Source organism: Homo sapiens, chromosome 13 (assembly GCF_000001405.40).
Source record: "Homo sapiens chromosome 13, GRCh38.p14 Primary Assembly".
In the NCBI taxonomy this organism is placed as follows: domain Eukaryota; kingdom Metazoa; phylum Chordata; class Mammalia; order Primates; family Hominidae; genus Homo; species Homo sapiens.
The window spans coordinates 26,625,052-26,648,989 of record NC_000013.11 but is presented as its reverse complement, the minus strand read 5'-3'; the positions used below and the strand labels follow the sequence as shown (position 1 = coordinate 26,648,989).

The window sequence follows — 23,938 nt, the reverse complement described above, 5'->3', positions numbered from 1 at the left end:
TAAAATCCATATGGAGGAAGGAGAAATAAAAAACCTAACTAATAATTACTTCTACAATACCCTTAAGAAAGTATTTCTGACATTCCGGGTCAATGGGTAATGAGAGTGTGAATCCCCTATAATCCTGCCTTTTGTCGGGGTGGTGGGGCTCTTATACTTGCCATCAATTCTCCTGCTGACAGAACTTCTATCTTCTAGTTTCCTAAGTATACATTACTTTTTACCTACCTGCACTGGCTTTCTTTGTTCATGAGAGATGCAAAAATAAGTTTGCAGCATTAAAAATTCTTAAATTCTTGCTGTGTTCCTCCCAGTCAACTTCGGTCGGACACCTCAATATATTTTATCTTAACTTACCCACAACCCTAGCCTCAAACTGTACAGAAATTTACTTATAATCTAGTTCCTTCATAAACTGTGTTCTATCTTCCTCACCTCCCCAAAAAATCTTGTTTGGCTAAAAACATCCAAGAAAGTTATTCAGCGCATGCCTTTAAAATTCTTAAATCTTTATCCTGAGTAGAACTGCACTTATGTCAATTAACACACCTCCAAATTTCAGATCCAATTATATAAAGCAACTGAATTAGAGTGCATTTGGTTGACTGGGAAACACAATGTGTGTCTTAAGGAGTATTAATAAAAACAATCACTTAAAAACCTTTGAAAAGAAAACAGACTTCCTTTCTCATTTGTACAATTACTCCACACATGAAAATTAAATAGATTTTATAATGATTTGCAAAGAGAGAAGCATATTTAAAATTAATGGAGTCACAGGATTTTGGGCCATTTATGACGACTATCCCTGCTCATTATGAAGAAGCCTGATGACTCCTAAGACATAAGAAATCTTTTTTAAAAAAATCAAAAACAACCAGAGATGTATGTAATTATTTTGAGTAAGAATTTATAATAGCGTTCCCCCACAAATAACTATATGTCCAACATTAGTAAAATGGTTAAATAATTATGGTGTATCAATATAATAATCTCCAGCTATTCAAAAATGTGTCTTATAAGAATACAGATGTTTACTGTACAGTGAGTATGGGCTATAAAACCATATGTACAATGAAATACCATCTGTATAAAAATATGTTCAAAGTATTACAATTTTTTCTGATTAACGGAATTTTGTAAAGTTGACTCTTTTGTGTGTTTCTATGCTAAATTTTCTATATTATCTTAATAGTACCATTAATGTCGCCAAATTTTTTTTTTTCGGCAGGGCTCACTAAATTTCTAACTCCTTTCTTTGTGACATCCTGAGAAGAATTTTATGGGGGAGGAGCGAAAAACAGCTATTATCACAAGAACAAAGAAAAAAAAAGTAGCAAAACCATACATATGAGGTATTAAAAAGAAGTTTTGTCATCCTTGGCACAAATGTCATCTCCTTTTTAAGCAAATTATATTGAAACTACATCATAATACCAGTAGGAATCTGATTACAAGATACTGTGATTTTAATTGATCAACTAGCTGACAGGAACAAGAGCATTCAGATTATTAATCAAGGAAAATGATGAAAAAGCACTCCCGGTTTAATGTTAATTAACACTAAACTGTCATTATTTGAAGAAAAAAAAATCAAAATTCCCTAGCTGGAAAACCAAGTAACACACCTAAAACTGTTTGCCAAGCGGCTATCCTCCCCCAGCCACTCTGATTGCTCACACTGTACTGTATCAGAAGTAACACTCAAAGAAAAAAATCTGAAAATTAAAACAGACTTAAAAAAAATTATTGGACAAACCTTTGAATGTGGTGATCTTTTTAAACTATATCGTCATTCATGTTACAAATTTCCTCTCTTTCATTTCTATGACTGTTACCAAATTCAATATAGTCTCACTGGAAAGATTTCAATTCCCTAAAAAGCCTGTTAAAAATTTAACGGTGACAAAATTTCTGGCCCTTGAAGTGAAGTGTCTGATTTGGATGTAGTAAGAGCATATCCAGAGCTAAAAACCTACAGATTTCCTAAAAGTTATGTAAAGTTGTAGGGCCTTCAGAATTCCATTTGCTATCTAAGACCAGATTCTTTTCTTGCTTTATGCAAAGTCATTTAAATCCTCATGACCCTGAACTGTCTCCATAAGTGTGACAAGAATCAGAATGATCAGGTAACTCTCTTCCTATTTAGAAAAGACCAAAGAAACTCCCTGTGGAGTCCTGGTCTGTTTTTCCTTCCCTAGAACAATTAGTTGCCCTGGGTTTTCACAGTAGGTCTCCCAGGGCAAGTTCCTGCTGCTCAAGCAGGGATGACCAGGGCAGGCTCAAGGCAAATCCCTAAGTTGCACTGGTGTTTCCCCTAAGATACATATGTAGAGAAAGTCTAGTCCCCCTCTGTATCACTTACAGGAAGCAGATAATTAAACATCATCTATCCCAATCTGTACCTGAAAATGATTTTCTGCTGTGGGGAGTGGAGGTAAGGGTGGGAGGGGAGTGACACAGGTGTGGGGGGTGAGCAGTGAAGTGGGGAGGATTAAGATGATCCATTCTCATTTGGACCCACTGAATAATGGCCGGGTAAGTACCCAAAGGAATTTAAAAACAGATTATGTTTTGACTTTGTCACAGGAATGAACACTCTGTAAAAGAAGACTTTTAATACTATAGGCTCATACATTCCTAAAATTTTTAAATACCTGATGAATGATTACAAAATTTAAAAATAACATAAAAACATTCCTTTACATTCTCTTATTCTTCCTAACAACTTTAGCTCATATATATTTGCATATAACTTTCCTCATCCCCTGTAATATATTAATATCCAGTGGCAAACCACGAACAACTGAAGATTCATGCAAAACATTGACATCATTTACTATGTGCTAGTGTTGTCTTGTAGCAGGTTGTAATAACTGCATATCTGTTTCCTACTTTATAATCATGTTGATGTGACTTATCAATTATTTTTAAAATTATAAATGTGGTTAACTTCTAAGCAGAACCCAATTCAAAGTTATTTGCTGTCCCCTGTACTTACTTTCCAAATTTGGGGGCATCAGTTTGTCCTGTAACTTCAGTTCTTACATGGATCTTTCAAAAGGCTGGTTTTCAGATTATTGAACTTCCTCTTATTGTGTAGACAGGAGTGACTTCCAAACTCTTTAAAAGCCAGACCAGAAACTGGATGACCCCTCAATAAATTTTTCATAACTATTCTAAAGTACTCATCAGTTATTTCCAAAATTGGGGTCATCTGTGGGTCTTGCTTCTACTGACTGACTTCTGTTTCTCTTGATTACAGGTCACATATTTTTCCTTTTCCACCTGTCTCACATTTATATTTATATTTTTATTTATTTTGCCAGACAACGTGTGTAAAAGAATAGTAGATTAAAACAGAGAATGTCTACTCCCATAAAACGGCATCTTTTAAGGAAGACTACTACTTTAGGCTGCTGATAATCACAATCATGTACCTGATACGAGATATAATTCTATGAAATACAAAGAAGAATGAATGAATAAACACTAATAAACTACAGATAATCTACTTTGATATTCTATCACCAATCAGTAATTCAGTGTCACAGGCAATTTGAGCTACTATGACAGAAGACCACAGAGTAGGTGGCTTATAAACAATAGAAATTTATTTCTCACAGTTCTGGAGGCTGGGAATTCCAAAGTCAAGGTGCCAGCAGATTTGGTGTCTAGTGAGGGTTGCTCTCTCTTCTTCAAGACAGTGCCTCATTGCTTTGGCATCACTAGGCAGAAGGGGCAAGGTGTCTCTCTCAGGCCTTTTTAATAAGGGCACTAATCTTATTGATGAGGACTCCACCTCATGACCTCTTACTTCCCCAAAATCCTAGCTCTAAAGACCATTACAATGAGGATTAGGATTTCAACGCGGAATTGTTGGGAGACACAAACATTCAGTTCATTGCACTCAGTTATCTTCGTTTTCCAAAATTATATCCTTGGCAGTATATATCACTGTGCTTCTCTTTCTGTAATGCTCTTTGGGTTGTAAGCCCCAGATGCACTCAACGAACCTGAAGTGAGGAAGGGTCACTGTGAGGACACCCAAGCCCTGCACCACAAATGGGAGGGGAAAGCCATCCTGGGCAGGTCAAGAAGCAGCTGCTGCCTCCACCTTGTGGGCCTTGCGGTCTCGCTCATGTTCTTGCTTCTCTTTGTACATCCTTCTTTTGCCTTTCCTCATCAACTGGCTTCCTTCTGCTTCCTCCCGGGTTCAGCCCCCTCCACAACTCTGCCTAACCGGTGGTCATTACGGCTTTTTCACCCCCAGATGACATTTTAGCAGTAGGTCTCATAAGAGACTAGCAAATTCACTGCATTTCTTAGTTCGAACTTCCTGAAAGGATCTGACTCACCCAGCTCATCTTTTCCATCCAGACACATGGGTGTCTAATTTTGTGGGTCATCTCTGGTGCTTACCGGAAGCACAATCTCTCGGGTGATTCCTAGCATCCTGTTTTAAAGCTCACCAAGTGACTCTGATAGAGAAGCCAGGTTGAGATGCACTGCAGTAGCGTAACTCAGAACTGACTATCCACTAGGCAGGTTCCCAGCCCCGGCCCAATCATGAGGCTACAGTGGATTGGGTGGTACAAAACACAACCAAAGCTAGAGTGGTTTCCTATTGCTGTTGTATCAAATTACCACAAACATAACAGCTTAAAATAACACCAATTACTATCCTACAGTTCTGGATGTCAGAAGTCAGAAACGAATTTCACTGGGCTAAAACTAATGTACGGGCAGATCTGTGTTCTTTCTGGGGACTTCAGGAGAGAACCAATTTCCTTGCCTTCTCCAGCTTCTCCAGTCTGCCTGCATTCCTTGGCTCATGGCCCCTCTTCTTCCATCTTCAAAGCCAGCAATGGCAGTTGGGTCCTTCCCACATCACGTCACCCTGGCACTGATTCTTCTACCTCCCTCCTTTCCCATTTAAAGAACCCTTGTGGATTACACTGAACCAAACCAGATAAACCAGGGTAATCTCCTTCTCTTAAAGTAAGCTGACTAGCAATCCTAATTCCCTCTTACACGTAACATAACACATCCACAGGTTCCAAGGATAAGGACATGGACATATCCGGAGGGGCTATTACTATTCTATTTACCACAAGGGCCATGTAGAACAAGGCATACTGTGTGGGCAGATTCACTTACAGGAGACTGTGGCCAAGCAAACACCATAAACACAACTAACACAACACTCCGCCGATTATTACAGCATGAGATACAGATTGATTATTAAAACTCTGACAGTTTATGTCGGCTTTCATCACTTACACTTTGTGCCAACAGGCATTTCAGCCATAAAAACAAGAGACTAAAAGCATTCCTACAAAAATAAATACACGCAAAAACAATTTTACCCTTCAATAATTTACAAGCAGTCTTCATGTAATTATGTGAATTTGTATATTTTTATCAATTACCACTACCAAAAGTCAATCATAAGAGCTTAGATTCCAGGAAAATTTTATTTTAAAAAACATTTTATGTAATTTCTTTACATACTTTTGCCTTAGCTAATGATTATAGATATTATTAAAAATATATCCGTAACAATACAGTACAACTCTATTAAAGAAACCAATACTTACCTGCAGCGTTTCTTCAAGATAAATAAAAGTAGTTGAGTTAAAAAAAAATTTGCCCTTCGCTTGAGGCTACCAATATGGGACATTTCATGGAAGATTTTCTAGTTATTAACAGAGTTTCTGAAAAATTTAACTGTGAAAACCTGTCACCAAAAATGCCACATAAACCACCTAAACTGAAAAGGAGCAGGATGAAGTGAGAAAACAAGATCAGAAAATAAATGTAAAAGTTTGGGGGAAAATAGTGCAACTTCAAAAAGCTTTGAAGGAAAAAGCATTTTCATGCATATTTGAGTCTTATAAAATATTCTTCAGATATTTAATATTAATATTCAAAATGAGAATAAGAAGCAGCCTTTTCTTCCTAGCTTGCATTTGCCATACATCTATGCATGCCAATATATACGTGGTACCATATACATAAAATAACCAGCTGATCTGTTCACCTCAATGCAGAAATCAGTATCTGCATTTTAACTTTTAGTAGGTTAAAATCAGCAAATCTATTGTTTGGCTTTATACTATGGTTCATTTGGGATGTTATTCAATCAACAGATATTTATTAAGTAGGTACTATGTGCCAGGCATATTACAGGTGTTAACTAGTTTTCAATCTATTACACTTAAAAAACAAAACAATTGGTCCTATTCAAGTTTAACAAAATAATTCATAATAATTGATAGTTTAAAAAATTACCAATTATCTTCATTTTCAAAAGCTTTTAAAAATTAACACTATTTTAAATCTGTACATTTGATCTCATCTAATAATTTGTGAGTTGGTAAGAGCATCACATCTTCATTGCCTAAAGTTAAGCATCACAAGCCCAGTACAGGTGCAGTGGTCAATTTCATACTGGGAAATACAGAAGGAGAAAGGATCTTTTCCTTAAAGCTGCAATCTCTTCTTTGGACAATCATTTAACTATTAAAATCAATTTGCTAACAAAAAGTTAATGTCATTGGTAATCAGAAAAAAGATGGCTTACTCAGACTGCTCAGCTGGCGTATGATAGCGGCAAGAGTACTATTGGTTACACATTCAAGTTCGCTGGTAATCCCTTCAGGCAGAGCTCCCCGGCACAAGTGCCGGGGCTCAATGTTCCTCTTCACTAAAGGCATGGTTCACAATCTGAAAATTGAAAACACATTCTTTATAAGCTCATATTCACATTTTAACAAATCTGGAATTTTAATTCCCTTGAAAATTGACTATTTTCCAGGAATTTTCATTATCCTAAAATTTCTATGTGACAGAATCAGCTAAAATGCAACAAACAGTGAATTACTTTAGTGAGTTTTATAGAGCCTGAAGGTACATGTATAGTATAATCTCACTTCATAGAAAAATAATATATTCCATATTTCTGACTTCTCTCTTCACTGAAATGAGGAGAGAGAGGAAAGGCAAAAAGTCCACATGTATCAAGAGCAAGAGAGGAGACACAAGCCACAAACCTGAAGACCACTTAACCAGATTAAGAGACAGGAAAGGCCACCATTATGACATCACCCCAGTTGTCCCACAGAACTGGTGTTTATGGTTTCTTTGAATAAACGTAGAAATTGACCCTCCGAGTCTTGAAGCCTGAGCAAGTTACATTTGTCTTATCTGAATTGCTTTCTCAGGCAACCATCCATCCGGCCTTCCAGGTAGTATTAAAAAACTAAAACTTACTAGATCATCTCATCTGGACCATGAGAAGTCAGACTCCTCACCCATCATGACTGCTTAAGACCACCTGTTCCCTGTTGACCAACTCCTCTTCCTTATCTCTCCCTAATTCCTGTTTTCTCACATATAGTTACCTTTCTTCCTGCTACATAAACCCCTAATTTTAGTAGGTCAGGAGGATGGATTTGAGGCTTATCTCCATCTCCTGAGCTATAGCACCCAATCAAAGCTTTCTTCCCTAGCAACACTCATTGTCTCAGTGATTGGCTTTCTGTGTGGCACGCAACTGGACCTAGACAAACCTCTGGCATTTTGGTACACCTAGGCTGCTAACTGGGGGCAGCAGGTCAATGTCCCCATTTACCAACCCAAGCAAGTAAGCCCACCTGAGCCACAGAACCTTCTCCCTCCCTACAAAAGGCTCAGGAGTAGGAGGCACCAGGTAAGTGCGAAACGGGAATTGAGGGGAGATAAAACAGGTGGGGTGGCTTTTAAAACTCCTTTTAAGAATGCCTTCTCCCTTCCTGGGCTGTCTTCCTCCACCCAACCCAGGATGTTTTACTCTCTGGAAAAGAAAGGTAAATTAAAGAATTTGAACTTGGGACTCTAGGCATAGCTAAAGGTAGGGGAGGAAATGTACTGGAAACAGGAATACTAAATCAAAGTCTACAATGACTGGTGAGACAGCTCCCCAACCTCTTGTTCCACTTGGCTCCTAGAACACAGGCAGCCTGGCTTTTACTCCCATCCAAAAACACTGGAGCATTCCTTCCTGGGGAATGTTTGAAGAGAAAAGATCTACAAATATGAACACTGGGGAGGGAGGCTTTCCCCTGCTGAAACTGCCACCCAGGCAGTAACACCTGTCAAAATCTCCCCAAGCACCCAGAGTGCACCAGCTTTTAGTGCCTCAGACTTAAATAAGAGTCAAGGATCACCAAACACTTCAGAAAAGCCTTCTCCAACATCCTAGGCATCCCTTTCACCCCTCTCCTCAAAAAGGAGATGATATGCTGGGCTCAGTGGCTCAAGCCTATAATCCCAGCACTTTGGAAGGCCAAGGTGGGTGGATCACTTGAGGTCAGGAGTTCGAAACCAGCCTGACTAACATGGTGAAACCCCATCTCGACAAAAAATACAAAAAAAAATTTAGCCAGGCGTGGTGGCACATGCCTGTAATCCCAGCTACTCAGGAGGAGGAGGCAGGAGAATCCCTTGAACCCAGGAGGCAGAGATTGCAGTGAGCCAAAATCGTGGCACTGCACTCCAGCCTGGGTGACAGAGTGAGACTGTCTTAAAAAAAAAAAAAGAAAAAAAAAGAGATGATAAATAAAATCTTAACTTCCTACTTAAGGAGTTTATAGAGTTTCAAACCTCCTAATCATACAACCAGCCTCATCTTCATACAATACTAGAAAATCCAATGACTGGAATATATTTTCATTTTGACAAGATTAGGGATATAGTTTGGATGTTTGTTCTCTCCAAATCTCATGTTGAAATGTGATCTCAGGTATTGAAAGTGGGGCCCAGTGGGAAACTTTTGGATCATGGGGGTGGACAGCTTGGTGCCATCCTCCCAAGGTTACTAATTCCAATAGATGGAAAACAGCTCACCCAAGAGGGCCCTCTTCAAAATGCAAACCAACCAATCCAGAGCCCACACACCTATCACACCTATCACCTCCTCGATGTGGCTCTCACACTCCTAGCCACTACCCACCTGCACATCACCCCATGGCCAAACTACTAGACAAGTAGAAACAGCCCCCAAGCTGAGAGCCCACTGAAATTATTCAAACCCGCCAATCCTGACTCTGCTTCCCCTTTGTCCACTCCTTCCCACAGAAACCACAAAAAAGACTCCGGCCCACAGCTCCCCGTCCCGCTCTGCCTCCTCAAGGACCCTGTGCTTCCTATGTGGCCCTGCGTGGTGTGCTGTGACCCCCTCCTCTTGGGAACTGTAACAAGCTATCTTTTCTATGGCAATTGTCTCCTAATCTGTTGACCTCACTATACCTCACATTTTCTATAAATACACTCTATTTTAGAGCAACAGGGAGCTCTGAGAGGGATTTGGAAGGGACAACATGTCGGCACTTCATTCATTTCCCCATTAACCATCCCAAGCAAACTGTAGGGGTCTCTGTGCCTGGCAGAGGCAGGACTCACAGTTGTCTTCTTCCCAGATGAACTATGAGCTGCCTGAATTTGGGACTGAGTCCATGAATTCTGTGTTCCCCACAATGCCCTGAACAGCCCTCGACACAACCTGATTATTCAAAAAATGTTTGCTGATTGTACAGCCATAGACATTTACATATATATTTCTCTTTGGCCTTCCCTTGGGGTACTTCATATATTGTTGTTGCAGTATTTCAGCTTTGACTAATTAATCCCCAGCCTTCATTTCTCATGTTCATTAAACCTCTATTTGGAACTCCTATGCCTGTATAAATACAAAAGACAAGAGAGAGAGGCCATGCTACCTGTCTACAACTTCAGAAAAGACGGCTTTGCAGCTCTTCTTTAAAGTTCTAATAATGTAGTAATGATTTTTATGGTTTTCAAATTCAGTGTCAATTACTTGTCTTAGTTTAGTGGTGCTATACAGAGTACCTGAGACTGGGTAGTTTATAAAGAGAAGAGGTTTATTTGGCTTATGATTCTGGGCACCTGCACCTGGTAAGGGCCTCAGGCTGCTTCCACTCATGGTGGAAAATAGGAGGACAGTGGGTGTATGCAAAGAGATCACATGGTGAGAGAAGAAACAACAGAAACCAAGGAAGCCAGACTCTTTTTAACCACCCACCCTCACAGGAAGTAATCCATTCCCACAAGAGTGAGAACTTACCACATAGGGAAAGCACTAATCTATTCATAAGAGATCCCACTAGGCCATACCTCCCAACATCTGGGGGATCAAATTTCAGTATCAGTTTTGATGGAGACAAACTGCATCCAAACCATAGCGTACTCTAACAAATGTATTCTTCTCCCAGACAGCTTTTATCGTCTCTAACACTAACTCAGTTTTGAATAAATTGAAGAGCGAGGAAGAGTCAAAGGAAAAAATGCTGGGTCAGTGATTACCCTTGAAAATACTTTGCAATTACAAAAACAAACATTTAATGAACTGATCCAGTTAGTCACCAACAGAATACTTAAGTACGCCTCTTGATTCCTTTATTGGAAGAACTATGACCCATCCAAATCATTCTTCAAAGTCAGTCTGTCTGTGAAGAATAAAACAATGATTGCTAATAAAATGTTTAGGACTATTAGAGGTTATATAAAGTATTAGTGTTAGGTCTGTAGTTTGTCCAGCTTTTCTGGGAAATGTCTCAGTTTAGAGAGATAAAACCTGGTTCACCTAACTGTGAACTAGATCCCAGACATGGCTGAAACTGGGCCAGGGTCCTTCCCTAAGAATTTGGAGGTGGGACTATGCTATCCAGCTTGGTCTGGCTGCTGTCTTCAACTATGGAAATGGATAACTCCCACCACATGAAATGGAGAATGACAAAACTAGTCTGCAGCAAGAAATCAGGATGAAATAACCGAGAAAAGCTGACAAAGGTGAATTAAAGACAAGAACCCCTCATCGGCTCTGCTGAATCTCCCTTAGACCTCATGGCAGACTAGGAAAGCTCGCTAACACCCAACCCCCTCTCCTCCCCACTGCAAGGGTCAGGTTTGCACTGTGGTTTGATGGCTCTCTCAGCCTCCCCAGTTTCTACCCCCTTTTCTTTCACATAGGTGATATCCTTAATCAAATCCTATAGCTGTGATCCCACCTTGGTGTCTGTTGCTCAGACCCAGACAAACCCAAGTGCCCTGAGAATGATCTGAGAAAGCAGGTGGTGAGATGGGGGATCTGGGACATGCTCACAGACCACTCTGCAGTTGAGGATGCCATCCTGATAGGAGGGTAGTCCCTGGCACAGGTCATGGCTCGATTGCTAAAGATTACAGTGACGGTGACCTGGAAAATGTCCAAATGAAGGGATACCTTTCATGTCCAAGGCAATAATGCAGATTCAGTGGAAAAATTCCAGAAAAGCAGCGGAGTTGGCTAGTCAGTGCTAAAATTGTACTAATGCCCTGCATAAGGATAACGGGATACTGAACTGCAGTTAACAAGCAGTTAACAGCTAAATGTGAGGGCAACAGGGCCTTCCTAGTGGGTACAAAGCAGTCTTCGCCACCATCTGAATTGGATGGGCAGACAGAATGAAAAGCTGTGGGTTTCCCATTTCCAAGGTCCAGTTGTGAGAGTAAGAGCTGGAAATGTTTAAATCTCAGCCAAGGCAAGTGAAGTATGCAGGTCTGGGCCCTAAGAGAGAAAACCCAGCATTCTGAAAACTGGGATGGGGAATTCTAGATGAATGCCTATGATATTGTTGAGTCTAAACAACCTACCTGCAAGTCCCTCAATTGGGACTCTCTGGGCTTGCACTTGGCTGAGCTGGAATATGCTGCAGAGGCCTCTCCCCTACAGGGCAGCAGGTACCCTCCCCCTGCAGGCATTACATGCAACTCTTCTTTCTGGATGCTAAGTTGATAACAAAATACGAATTCCAGCAACAACCTAGCTGTGAAAGTGCTGGGCCTAAGAGAGGAAAGAGAGCAACACCGTCATGCTGACTGGACAGACTAAGCACAGGGTGGCCAGCACACAGGAGCCCTTGGTAAGACACACATGCTCCAGAGGGTGGCAGATAAGCCCTGTGAAGATTCAGGGTCTGGCAACTGCGGTGAAGTTCTGAGGGACCCAGTGCTCAGAGGCATGCTGGGTATCTCCTCCTAAGGAAAAGACAATTTGTTATATCTTGCATCCCCCAATGCTGAGGAAGCCCAGTGCTGATTAGGTTGGGTTCTGGGGGCAACACACCTGTGATATGGCTCTGGTCTACAGACTGCATGACACGGCAGCTGCCAGTTTTGAGTGGGGCTCAAGGCAAGAAAGGACCCTTCAGCAGGTCTAGGCTGTGGTGCAAACAGCCTGGCTGCTAAGGCTGTATGACCCAGCAGAGATATTGGTGGTAAAAAATAAAAATAAGTTCTGTTCCAAGATGGCCGAATAGGAACAGCTCTGGTCTGCAGTGCAGCTCCCAGCATGATCGACGCAGAAGATGGGTGATTTCTGCATTTCCAACTGAGGTACCTGGTTCCTCTCATTGGGACTGGTTGGACAGTGGGTGCAGCCCATGGAGGGCGAGCCAAAGCAGGGCGGGGCATTGCCTCACCCAGGAAACACAAGGGGTCAGGGGATTTCCCTTTCCTCGTCAAGGGAAGCCATGACAGACTACCTGGAAAAACAGGGCACTTCCGCCCAAATACTGTGCTTTTCCCACAGTCTTAGCAACCAGCAGACCAGGAGATTCTCTCCCGTGCCTGGCTCGGTGGGTACCACACCTGCGGAGCCTTGCTCACTACTAGTGCAGCAGTCTGAGATCAACCTGTGAGGAAGCAGCCTGACAGGGGGAGGGGCATCCGCCATTGCTGAGGCTTGAGTAGGTAAACAAAGCAGCCGGGAAGCTTGAACTGGGCGGAGCCCACCACAGCTCAGCAAGGCCTACTGCCTCTATAGACTCCACCTCTGTGGGCAGGGCATAGCTGAACAAAAGGCAGCAGAAACTTCTGCAGACTTAAAAGTCCCTGTCTAACAGCTCTGAAGAGAGCAGTGGTTCTCCCAGCATGGCGTTTGAGCTCTGAGAACGGACAGACTGCCTCCTCAAGTGGGTCCCTGACCCCCATGTAGCCTAACTGGGAGACACCTCCCAGAAGGGGCTGATAGACACCTCATACAGGCGGATGCCCCTCTGGGATAAAGCTTTCAGAGGACGCATCAGGCAGCAATACTTGCTGTTCTGCAATGTTTGCTATTCTGCAGCTTCCGCTGGTGATACCTAGGCAAACACGGTCTGGAGTGGAGTGCCAGCAAACTCCAACAGACCTGCAGCTGAGGGACCTGACTGTTAAAAGGAAAACTAACAAACAGAAAGGAATAGCATCAACATCAACAAAAAAGACATCCACATGAAAACCCCATCTGTAGGTCACCAACATCAAAGACCAAAGGTAGATAAAACCACAAAGATGGGGAGAAAGCAGAGCAGAAAAGCTGAAAATTCTAAAAACCAGAGCACGTTTTCTCCTCCAAAGGATCACAGCTCCTTGCCAGCAATGGAACAAAGCTGGACGGAGAATGACTTTGACGAGTTGACAGAAGCAGGCTTCAGAAGGTCAGTAATAACAAACTTCTCCGAGCTAAAGGAGCATGTTCTAACCCATTGCAAGGAAGCTAAAAACCTTGAAAAAAGGTTAGACGAATGGCTAACTAGAATAAACAATGTATAGAAGAACTTAAATGACCTGATGGAGCTGAAAACCATGGCACAAGAACTTCATGACGCATGCACAAGCTTCAATAGCTGATTCAATCAAGTGAAAGAAAAGATATCAGTGATTGAAGATCAAAATAATGAAATAAAGTGAGAAGACAAGTTTAGAGAAAAAAAGTAAAAAGAAACAAACAAAGCCTCCAAGAAATACGGGACTATGTGAAAAGACCAAATCTACGTTTGACTGGTGTACCTGAAAGTAACAGGGAGAATGGAATCAAGTTGGAAAACACTTTTCAGGATATTATCCAGGAGAACTTCCCCAACCTAGCAAGGCAGACCAACATTCAAATTCAGGAAATACAGAGAACACCACAAAGATACTCCTCGAGAAAAGCAACCCCAAGACACATAATTGTCAGATTCACCAAGGCTGAAATGAAGGAAAAAATGTTAAAGGCAGCCAGAGAGAAAGGTCGGGTTACCCACAAAGGGAACCCCATCAGACTAACAGTGGATCTCTGGACAGAAACCTTACAAGCCAGAAGAGAATGGGGGCCAATATTCAACCTTCTTAAAGAAAAGAATTTTCAACCCAGAATTTCATATCCAGCCAAACTAAGCTTCATAAGTGAAGGAGAAATAAAATCCTTCACAGACAAGCAAATGCTGAGAGATTTTGTCACCACCAGGCCTGCCTTACAAGAGCTCCTGAAAGAAGCGCTAAACATGGAAAGGAACAACCGGTACCAGCCACTGCAAAAACATGCCAAATTGTAAAGACCATCGATGCTATGAATAAACTGGATCAATTAACAGTCAAAATAACCAGCTAACATCATAATGACAGGATCAAATTGTCACATAACAACATTAGCCTTAAATGTAAATGGGCTAAATGCCCCAATTAAAAGACACAGACTGGCAAACTGGATAAAAAGTCAAGACCCATCAGTGTGCTGTATTCAGGAGACCCATCTCACGTGCAGAGACACACACAGGCTCAAAATAAAGGGATGGAGGAAGATCTACCAAGCAAATGGAAAGCAAAGAAAACAGGGGTTGCAATCCTAGTCTCTGATAAAACAGACTTTAAACCAACAAAGATCAAAAGAGACAAAGAAGGCCATTACATAATGGTAAAGGGATCACTTCAACAAGAAGAGCTAACTATTCTAAATATATATGCACCCAATACAGATGCACCCAGATTCATAAAGCAAGTCTTTAGAGACCTACAAGGAGACTTAGACTCCCACACAATAATAATGGGAGACTTTAACACCCCACTGTCAATATTAGACAGATCGAGACAGAAGGTTAACAAGGATATCCAGGACTTCAACTCAGCTCTGCACCAAGTGGACCTAATAGACATCTACAGAACTCTCCACCCCAAATCAACAGAATATACATTCTTCTCAGCACCACATCACACTTATTCTAAAAGTGACCACATAATTGGAAGTAAAGCACTCCTCAGCAAATGTAAAAGAACAGAAATCACAAGAAACTGTCTCTCAGAACACAGTGCAATCAAATTAGAACTCAGGATTAAGAAACTCATTCAAAACCGCACAACTGTGTGGAAACTGAACAACCTGCTCCTGAATGACTACTGGGTACATAACGAAATGAAGGCAGAAATAAAGATGTTCTTTGAAACCAATGAGAACAAAGACACAAATACCAGAATCTCTGGGACACACTTAAAGCAGTGTGTAGAGGGAAATTTATAGCACTAAATGCCCACAAGAGAAAGCAGGAAAGATCTAAAATCGACACCCTAACATCACAATTAAAAGAACTAGAGAAGCAAGAAGCAACAAATTCAAATGCTAGCAGAAGGCAAGAAATAACTAAGATCGGCCGGCTGTGGTGGCTCAAGCCTTTAATCCCAGCACTTTGGGAGGCCGAGGTGGGCAGATCACCTGAGGTCAGGAGTTTGAGAACAGCCTGACCAACATGGAGAAACCCCACCTCTACTAAAAATACAAAAAATTAGCCGGACGTGGTGGCACATGCCTGTAATCCCAGCTACTCGGGAGGCTGAGGCAGGAGAATTGCTTGAACCCGGGAGGCAGAGGTTGTGATGAGCTGAGATGACGCCATTGCACTCCAGCCTGGGCAACAAGAGCAAAACTCTGCCTCAAGAAAAAAAAAAAAAAAAGAAATAACTAAGATCAAAACAGAACTGAAGGAGATAAAGACACAAGAAATCCTTCAAAAAATCAATGAATCCAGGAGCTGGTTTTCTGAAAAGATCAACAAAATTGATAGACCACTAGCAAGACTAATAAAGAAGAAAAGAGAAAAGAATCAAATAGACACAATAAAAAATGATAAAGGGGGTATCACCACCAATCCCACAGGAATACAAACTACCATCGGAGAATACTATAAACACCTCTATGGAAATAAACTAGAAAATCTAGAAGAAATGGATAAATTCCTGGACACATACACCCTCCCAAGACTAAACCAGGAAGAAGTTGAATCTCTGACTAGACCAATAACAGGCTCTGAAATTCAGGCAATAATTAATAGCCTACCCACCAAAAAAAGTCCAGGACCAGACAGATTCACAGCCTAATTCTACCAGAGGTACAAAGAGGAGCTGGTACCATTCCTTCTGAAACGATTCCAATCGACAGAAAAAGAGGGAATCTTCCCTAACTCATTTTATGGGGCCAGCATCATCGTGATACCAAAGCCTGGCAGAGACACAATAAACAAAGAGAATTTTAGATCAATATCCCTGATGAACTTCAATGTGAAAATCCTTAATAAAATACTGGCAAACCAAATCCAGCAGCACATCAAAAAGCTTATCCACCATGATCAAGTCAGCTTCATGCCTGGGATGCAAGGCTGGTTCAACATATGCAAATCAATAAACGTAATCCATCACATACACAGAACCAACGACAAAAACCACATGATTACCTCAATAGATGCAGGAAAGGCCTTTGACAAAATTCAACAGTCCTTTGTGCTAAAAACTCTCAATAAACTAGGTATTGATGAAACGTACCTCAAAATAATAAGAGCTATTTATGACAAACCCACAGCCAATATCATACTGAATGGGCAAAAACTGGAAGCATTCCCTCTGAAAACCGGCACAAGACAAGGATGCCCTCTCTCACCATGCTTATTCAACATAGTATTCGAAGTTCTGGCCAGGGCAATCAGGCAAGAGAAACAAATAAAGGTATTTAATTAGGAAAAGAGGAAGTCAAATTGTCCCTGTTTGCAGATGACATGATTGTATATTTAGAAAACCCCATCGTCTCAGCCCAAAATCTCCTTAAGCTGATAAGCTACTTCAGCAAAGTCTCAGGATACAAAATCAACGTGCAAAAATTACAAGCATTCCTATACACCAATAACAGACAAACAAAGAGCCAAATCATGAGTGAACTCCCATTCACAATTGCTACAAAGAGAATAAAATACCTAGGAATCCAACTTACAAGGGACGTGAAGGACGTCTTCAAGGAGAACTACAAACCACTGCTCAACAAAATGAAAGAGGACACAAACAAATGGAAAAACATTCCATGCTCATGGATAGGAAGAATCAATATTGTGAAAATGGCCATACTGCCCAAGGTAATTTATAGATTCAATGCCATCCCCATCAAGCTACCAATGACTTTCTTCACAGAATTGGAAAAAACTACTTTAAAGTTCATATGGAACGAAAAAAGAGCCCACATTGCCAAGACAATCCTAAGCAAAAAGAACAAAGCTGGAGGCATCACGCTACCTGACTTCAAACTATACTACAAGCCTACAGTAACCAAAACAGCATGGTACTGGTACCAAAACAGAGATATAGACCAATGGAACCGAACAGAGGCCTCAGAAATAACACCACACATCTACAACCATCTGATCTTTGACAAACCTGACAAAAACAAGAAATGGAGAAAGGATTCCCTATTTAATAAATGGTGCTGGGAAAACTGGCTAGCCATATGTAGAAAGCTAAAACTGGATCCCTTCCTTATACCTTATACAAAAATTAACTCAAGACAGATTAAAGATTTAAATGTTAGACCTAAAACCATAAAAACTCTAGAAGAAAACCTAGGCAATACCATTCAGGACATAGGCATGGGCAAGGACTTCAGGACTCCATGAGTCCCTGTGCAGTAATATCAAAAGCAATGGAAACAAAAGCCAGAATAAACAAATGGGATCTAATTAAACTAAAGAGCTTCTGCATGGCAAAAGAAACTACCATCAGAGTGAAGAGGCAACCTACAGAATGGGAGAAAATTTTTGCAATCTACTCATCTGACAAAGGGCTAATATCCAGAATCTACAATGAACCAAACAAATTTACAAGAAAAAAACAACCCATCAAAAAGTAGGCAAAGGATATGAACAGACACTTCTCAAAAGAAGACATTTATGCAGCCAACAGACACATGAAAAAATGCTCATCATCACTGGCCATCAGAGAAATGCAAATCAAAACCACAATGAGATACCATCTCACACCAGTTAGAATGGCAATCATTAAAAAGTCAGGAAACAACATATGCTGGAGAGGATGTGGAGAAATAGCAATGCTTTTACACTGTTGGTGGGAGTGTAAATTAGTTCAACCATTATGGAAGACAGTGTGGTGATTCCTCAAGGATCTAGAACTAGAAATAGCATTTGACCCAGCGATCCCATTACTGGGTATATACCCAAAGGATTGTAAATCATGCTACTATAAAGACACATGTACACGTATGTTTACTGCGGCACTATTCACAATAGCAAAGACTTGGAACCAACCCAAATGTCCATCAATGATAGACTGGATTAAGAAAATGTGACATATATAAACCATGGAATACTGTGCAGCCACAAAAAAGGATGAGTTCATGTCCTTTGCAGGAATATGGATGAAGCCAGAAACCATCCTTCTCAGCAAACTATCACAAGGACAGAAAACCAAACACTGCATGTTCTCACTCATAGGTGGGAATTGAACAATGAGAACACTTGGACACAGGGCAGGGAACATCACACACCAGGGCCTGTTGGGGGTTGGGGGGCTGGGGGAAGGACAGCATTAGGAGAAATACCTAATGTAAATGACGAGTTAGTGAGTGCAGCAAACCAACATGGCACATGTATACCTATGTAACAAACCTGCATGTTGTGCACATGTACCCTAGAACTTTAAGTATAAAAACAAAACAAAACTTAACAACAGTAAAACTCATCATGCCTGAGAGCCATGATTACTAGCTATGTAAACATTATTGCTGAGGTAAAAACATTTACAGGATAATTAAAATGCCCCTTTTCAAACATGTTCCTTACAAAATAAATGCCCTGAGACTCAAAAAATAAATAAATAAAAATAAAAGAAAAATTTAAAAAATAAGGAAAACAGGACAATATGGAGTTTGTGGCAAGCTCCAGCAGGAGAATCAAAGGCAAGGCCCTAGGACCTGCCATCACATCAGAGTATTAAATGTACTATATTACCAAGACCTGGTAGAGATCACAGAGAACCAGGGGTCCAGGCATGCAAAGCTCCCCAGAATGAGCTAAGTTCTGTCAGTCAAGTTATTAATTCAAACTAGCAGCAGTTGACCATAAAATAGAAATGGGACATTCAAGATTGAACCACAGTAGAACCACAGGATACAAGTGAGTCCCATGAGCAGGAAGCCCAGACCTCCAAGTCACCCCCAAGAGCTGTAGTGCCCCTCCCCTGTGTGCCTAGGTTACACAGGCAGCAGACTCATACATCCAGGGGAAGGAGGAAGGAAAGCCTGAGCTTGGTTTTTCAGACGGATCAGCTCAGCACATGGTGTTAGTCAAAAATGGACTGTGTGTGCTGCAGCAGTACTCAGGATGGCCCTCAGAGACAGTGGAAAGGAAAATCTTCCCAGCAGGTGGAGCTGTGGGCAGGACACCAGTTCATGACACCGCGTAGCTTGATCTGAAATGCGTGCAGATGTGTGGGCAGTGGCCAACAGCCTGGTTGTATGGTCAAGGTACTGAAATAAAAAGAACTGGAAGATGAGGAACAAGGAGATCTGGATAAAGGCCATGTGGGTAGAAATTCGGGAGTGGGCACAGGGTGAAGATTTCTGTATCACTTGTTAACCTCCACTGGAAAGTTTCCCACCAAAGAGACACTGAACACAAAGCAGGCAAAATCCGCCAGCCTGCATCATCGATAAGTCCACCCAGAATTATCAGCCTGATGGACCCCACACATCATCGCATCTGACGAGGGGACCCACTTTACAGTGAAGGACGTCGAGCGTGGGCCCATCGACAGGATCCAATGGTCACATCACATATCAAACCACCCAACGCGGGTCCATCCCAATGAACGCTGGGCCAGCCTTTTCAAGGCACACTGAAGCACAAGCTTGCCAGACACTCTGAAAGGATGGTCATACTCCACAACACAGTACACTTATACATCAGAGGCCTCTAGATGGCAGTGGGATCCCAAGGAGGAGGACATGTGGGCTTAGGCGCCTAGGGCTGGAGGCAAGAAAAGCCCTACTTAATGATCACCACCAACAGCCCAGGGGAACTTTGTGCTTCCCATTCTGCACCAGTGGACACTGCAGGGCTGGGGGTCTGAAATGGGGCACACACTTAGCAGGAACAAGGCAAAGATCCCACTGAACTGCAAGTTCTGGATGCCACCACGGTACTTTGGACTCATGTTACCATGGAATAGAAAATGAAAAGAGGAATCTCCGTACTGGCAGAGGAAACTGACTCCAGCCAGCAGGAAGAGGTAAGACTGTGTTCATGCAAAGGAGGCAGGAAGGAACCCAGGTGATCCATTCAGGATCCTTGAACTTGTAATCCTACCTTGGCATCTCCTCCTGGGAGGAGCCAGGTAGCTTAATTACCTACCTTAATTCATACTTGCTGTGCTAATTCTCTGTGTGCATGTGCCCTCACACATGTGCAGCACCTGCTGACACTTGCTAGTGTGTCTAACCTCTTACTGCAAACTCTTTCTCATGGTGGGGGTAGGGGGTTGTTCTCTGCACCTTGTTTTAGAAAAGTTTCCTTGTAGAACAATTTTATGTTTTCTTTTGCTGTGCCCCTGGCCAAGACTGTGGTTCTAATTTCTCCCTAACACATTTGTTTGTTTTGTTTTCTTACTATTTGGAGCCCCAGGCAGATGGCAAGCTATTTCTCAGGATTGGCGAGCGCAGGTTTTCTACCCAACTTTTACGGGATTTGACAGCCCTTTGAACATCCCAGCATTTATTCTGAGGTCTCAGTTCTAGCTCATTCCATCAGGTTGGCCTGAAACACATTTCCATGTACGGGCAGCATTAAACCCTGGCCTCTAGCTCTAAGCATCTTCCCTCCAACTCTCTCAGCTCCTAACACCTAGGGAAGATTGCTGATTCGTTCAAGCATGGCAATGTTTTAAAATACATATATATTTTATTTTATTTTATTTTTAGGGTTTTTTTTTCTTTATTATTATACTTTAAGTTTTAGGGTACATGTGCACATTGTGCAGGTTAGTTACATATGTATACATGTTCCATGCTGGTGTGCTGCACCCACTAACTCGTCATCTAGCATTAGGTATATCTATTTTAAATATAAATATATACATATATAAGTGCATACACACATACTTGGTTATACTCTATCCAACATTTGTATGTGTTTATAGCAACTTGGGTAGCTAATTTTACTTCCTACTGCCATTTGCGAGGATTCTCTTAAGAATTCTTAGCCTTCGTTTTAATTGTCCCTTCATTACTACAACACCTACCACATTTCACGTCCCCCCAGCCCACCCCAATGTATCCTCAAATGTATTCTGAATGAATAAACAGTGACACATATAAACTTTGACTAGGTATAGGTGAAAAACCAAAACAAAGAACCAGATAGATATTGAGGATATTAGTTACAGGAAATGGGGTAGACAATGTTGCATGCACAGCAATAAATGTACACCCCACCTCTGATTTTATATATTACCCTATCAAAATAACTCCATGAGTCCCTGTGCAGTAATACTAGTTACACCTTCCCTGCCTGCCTTACAGGTTGTTGAGAGGCTCACATGAAAATAAAAAAAAAAGTATAGTATAAGATGTTGATAGTAATATAATTTTAATTAATTTTATATTACCAAAATAAGATACTAACATTTGTCCTCTAATTTTATTTCTCATGCAATTAATCTAAACCTAAATTTCTCCTCTAATTTTACATGTTGTACAATTAAATGCCTGAATACTGGCACTGAACTTCTCCAATTGGTACTCTTCCAATTAAAGCCAAATGATTAAAGAATTTCAAAATCATATCAATGTGCTTTCTACTTTCTACTTTCTTGGTTATACTCTATTCAGCATTTATATGTGTTTACAGCAAACTGGGTAGCGAATTTTACTTCCTACTGTCCTCAGAGAGGAGTTGTTGAAGACGTCAACAATAATTGTGTATTTGTCAACTTCTCCCCTGAGTTCTATCAGTTTTTGTTTCTGTATTTTAAAGATCTGTTGTTGAATGTAGCCACATATTTAAGATTATTAAGTCTTCTTGGGGAAATGATCCCATTATCATTATGTAATGTCCCATTTACCCCTAATAATAATCTTTGTTCCAAAGTCTACTTTGATATAACGGTCATTCCTTATTTTGATTAGTGTTTACAAGTTTTTCCTTCTAATTTTAACCTTTCTGTTTCTATGTATTTAAAGAGAATTTATTTTGGAGAGCATACGGTTGTGTTGCTTTTTTATCCAATTTTACAATCTCTGACTTTTAACTAGGGTGTTTAGATCATTTACATTCAATGTAATTGTTGATGTGGCTGAATTTAAACCTTCCATCTGACAAAGATTCTTTGCTTGGCCAAACTTCAGTCAGGCTTCTGAACCTTCTGCTAGGCCCATCTGTGCACCTTCTTTGTAAAATTCAGTTTCTAGCAAAGACCCCTGCTAAATGTGTTTAGCAAGAACATTCCTTGCCATCCTCAAAATTTGTTTATCCTCAATATCTCATCAGGTTCCTAACTGTCCACCATCCCCCAGATGACATCGCATCACCCTGGCTATCTTCAGCAAGAATCCTCTTAGGCGTCAGCCAGAATTCTCCTAACCCCTGACGTCCTCCTCTTAGTACTTTTCCATCCACTGACCCTCTCACTGATCCTTGGCTATAAGTCCCCACTTGCCCATGCTGTATTCAGAGTTGAACCCAATCTCTCTCCCCTACTGCAAGATGCTGTTGCAGTGGCTCCTCTACCTTCTGCAATGGTCCTGAATAAAAGTCTTTACCATGCTTTAACAAGTCTTATTAAATAATTTTTTCTTTAACACATCCTGCTAGTGGTTTTCTATTTGTCCCACCTGTTCTTTGGTCCAAAAGCTCTTTTTCTGCTTTCTTTCAGTTATTTGTTATGATGTCATTTCATCTCCACAACTGGTTTTTATTCTTTTTACGTTTTTCATAGTAGTTGCTCTAGAGCTTACTATAGATATATACATTTTTAGCTTATCACACCTACCTTCGAATAATACTGAACAACTTCATGCATAGTGTGAGAACACTGTAACTTTAGAATAATGTAATGGTTCATTTTATGTGTCAAGCTGACTGGGCTAGGAGATACCCAGAGCTGCTGAAACATTATCTCTGGGTGAGTCTGTGAGAGGGTGCTTCTGAAAGACATCAGCACTAGAATCAGTGGACTGAGTAAAAAAAGATCCACCCTCACCAAGGTGGGTGGGCATCATCCAATCCACTGAGAACCTGAACAGAACAAAAGAGTGGAGGAAGGATGAATTTTCTCTCTCTCTCTCTCTTCTTAAGTTGGGACATCCATCTTCTCCTGCCCTCAGACATTGGAGCTCCTGGTTCTCAGGCTTTCAGACTCCAAAGCTTACACCTGCACCACCTTCCCAATCCCAGGTCCTCGAGTCTTTGGCAATGGACTGGGAGTTATACCATCAGCTAGGCACAATGAATTACACCACTGGCTTTCCTGGGTCCCCAGTTTGTAGACAGCAGATTGTGGGACTTCTCAGCCTCCATAATTGTGTGAGCCAAATTCCATAATAAATCTCCTCATAAATCTATATATCCTATATGTTCTATTTCTCTGGAGACCCCCTAATATAAACAGTATATTTCCATTTTCTTCTTCCATGCTTTGTCCAATGTTGTCATATATTTTACCTCTTATAAACCCCACATTACTATTGTTTTTGCTCTGGACAATTATCAATTAATGTAATTAAAAATAAGAAAAAATATAACATATTTATTCTCTTTTACCATTTCAGGGTCTC

General features: G+C 41.0%; 1 protein-coding gene across 10 annotated transcripts in view; it reads right to left on the bottom strand.

The window, feature by feature from the left end:
- WASF3 (WASP family member 3) overlaps positions 1–23,938 on the bottom strand; it is a 149,810-nt gene that overhangs the window by 39,959 nt on the left and 85,913 nt on the right. For 9 of the 10 annotated variants that reach the window (XM_024449315.2, XM_047430060.1, XM_047430064.1 and 6 more), the window contains exon 3: positions 6,587–6,729. In XM_024449315.2, the coding sequence (XP_024305083.1) occupies positions 6,587–6,719 (133 nt within the window). In that variant the 5' untranslated portion in view covers positions 6,720–6,729. Of the gene's footprint in view, positions 1–6,586; positions 6,730–6,886; positions 7,058–23,938 lie in introns of those variants that run through there. The other variant, XM_011534890.2, reaches the window with a different exon arrangement.